The 2841-nt window shown below is 42.1% G+C and overlaps 1 annotated feature.

The window, feature by feature from the left end:
* Window positions 1684-2184: an enhancer, noted in NCBI's record as "H3K4me1 hESC enhancer chr3:112590118-112590618 (GRCh37/hg19 assembly coordinates)". NCBI's record gives its function as "activates a minimal SCP1, AML or CMV promoter by ChIP-STARR-seq in primed H9 embryonic stem cells {active_cell/tissue: H9 hESC(primed)}" and the evidence as "EXISTENCE:reporter gene assay evidence [ECO:0000049][PMID:30033119]".

The raw sequence follows: 2841 nt of genomic DNA, 5'->3' as shown, positions 1-2841 counted from the left end.
ATTCTATGAGACCAACATTATCCTGATGCCAAACCCAGACAAAGAAATCACAAGAAAAGAAAACTACAGACCAATATTCCTTTTGAATATAGATGCAAAAATCCTCAACAAAATACCAGCAAACTAAATCCAGTAGCATATTAAAAGGATTAGACATCACGTAAAAGTGGGATTTATCCTAAGAATGCAAAATTGGTTCCACATATGAAAATCAATCTATGTAATAAACCACATTAATAGAATGAAGAAAAAAGTCACATGATCTCAATTGATGGAGAAAAAGCATTTGACAAAAATCTTACATTCTGCCATGATAAAAATTCTCAAAAAAACTAGGAACGGAAGGGAACTTCCTCAACACAAGAAAGGGAATTTATTAAAAAACTCAAAGCTGAGAGCATGCTAATTTTTGGAAGACTGGAAGCTCCCCTCTATTAGCACAACAAGGCAAGAATGCCCACTTTCACCACTTCTATTCACCATTATACTGGAAGTTTTACCCAGGATAATTAGTCAAGGAAAATAAAAATAAATAAAAAATATCCAAACTGGAGAGAAAGAAGTAAAATGATCTCTATTCACATATGATGTACATCCTAAACATACCACAACAAGATCCCAAACTCCTTAGGGCTAATAAACAAATTCAGCAAAGTTACAGGATACAAAAACATGCAAAAATGAGTTGTATTTCTATATATCAGCAATGAACAATCTTAAAAGGAAATTGAGGAAACAATTACATTTATAATAGCATCAAAAATAATAAAATACTTAGGAATAAATTCAAGTAAGGAGCAAGACCTCTACACTGAAAACTACAAAATGGTACTAAAAGAAATTGAAGAAAGTATAAATAAATGGAAAGACATTCTCTGTGCATGGAATAGAGACTTAATATTCTCAAGACGGTAATACTCCTCAAAGAGATCTACATATTCAATGCAATCCTTATTAAAATCCCAATGGCCTTTTCTGCAGAAATGGGAAATCCTCAACTGCATGTGGAATTGCAAGAGACTTCAAATAGTTAAAACAATATTGAAAAAGAAGGACAGGAGATGATCTTCAATGGCTAGGTAGAGGCACCTGACACTTTTCCTCCACTAAGAAGAACCAAAGCAGCAAGTAGATAATCACACTTCAAGTAGAGAATCTAAGAGAGATCACTGAAACTTAGGAGGGAAGTAACAGAAATAAGGCATGAAAAAAGAGAGAAATGAAGCAGCCAGCCTGGCTGGGATAGGCAGGGATCCCAGAAAGACTCCTTGTGCAGAAAAAGGCAACAGAGAGATCCCCAGTAGTATCCCCAGCTACTTGGGTCTCACCAGAGAGGCTGCCTCCAGGACAAAGGGAATGGAAGGGCATACGCTCCAGAGCCTGAAAGCTGCCTGCCTGGGGTAGCTGCCACTAAACAGAAACTCTCCTTAACAGCAGGGCCTCAGCACACTCACATGCTCCTGAGAACAGGCTCTCCCCAACCAATGCTGACACTGCTGCTGCCACTTGAGCATGCCAAAGGGGTCATGGGGATTCCTCTGATCCACCCACTACAGCCTGCATCTGTGCAGGCCTAAGGACAGGCAGGTTCTGCCTGGTGCTGTCCCTCCTAGTGCTTGAGCGCATTGCCTGGGGGCCTGGGGATTGTGCTGTGTTGTCTGCTGCACATCATCCACTACTTCTGGCATCCATGCAGTTCTGGGGGCCGGAGGATGAGCCTTCCCAGCCTGTCACCATCACCACCATTGACATTCACCTGCATGTTCCACCTGGGTATCTGGGGATGGGCCTCCCCAGCCCTTTGTTACCACCACTAACACCAGCAGGAGCTTCCTGGGAGCCAGAGGGTTTTCCTATGATGAATACTATCGTTGCCCATGTCACACATGTTGACGAAGGGCCTGCCTACCTACCCATCCCATGTTGCCACTGCTACATGCTGGAGCAAGCCACTTGGAGCCCTGTGAATTGGCCTGCCTGGACCCACTAACATTGGTGTCCATGTAATACTGGCTGCCTGGGGGCCCAAGGACAAGCACACTCAGCCAGCTGCTGCCACCAATGAGGCCTGAGAATTGGCCCACCTGGTGTCTTTATGCCAAGCACAGCCTCCATAACAAACATAGCCTAAGCCACTGAGGAAATCACAGACACCACTGAGACCATTTACAACCAGAGAAATCATATGAAGACTACATTACTGCACACACTCAGAATAAAAGCTTACATGCCAACAGACACCATAGATACAATTACAGGAAAAAGTCTTCCCCTACAAAAGCCAATCCAAAATATTGGAAGAAGGAACTAGTATATCAGAGGCGTAGATATCAATGCAAGGACACAAGAAACATAAAAAAGGAAAGAAATGTGACACCTCCAAAGGAAAAAATAATTCTCTAGCAATAGATTCCAGTGAAGAAAAAATTATAAAATGCTTGAAAAAAATTAAAAATAATAGTAAAGAAGCTCAGTGAGTGATACAATTGGATATGTACCCCCTCTAAATCTCATGTTTAATTGAAATCCCCAGTGTTGGAGATCGGGCCACATGGGTGGTGATTAAATCACAGGGACAGATTTCTCGTGGATGATTTAGCATCATCGCCTTGGTGCTGTCCTTGTGACAATGAGTGAGTTCTTGTGAGATCTGGTTGTTACAAAGTGTGTGGCACTTCGTAACTGCTCTCCTTTCACCTTCCACCATGAGTAAAAGCTCCCTGAGACTTCCCCAGAAGCTGAGCAGATGTCAGCACCATGCTTTCTGTACAGCCTGCAGAACCAGGAGCCAATTAAGTTTCTTTTTTATAAATTATCCAGCCTCAGGTATTTCTTTACAGC

The sequence above is a fragment of the Homo sapiens genome, chromosome 3 (genome assembly GCF_000001405.40).
Source record: "Homo sapiens chromosome 3, GRCh38.p14 Primary Assembly".
NCBI lineage: Eukaryota > Metazoa > Chordata > Mammalia > Primates > Hominidae > Homo > Homo sapiens.
This window is presented reverse-complemented; position numbering and strand designations above follow the sequence as displayed.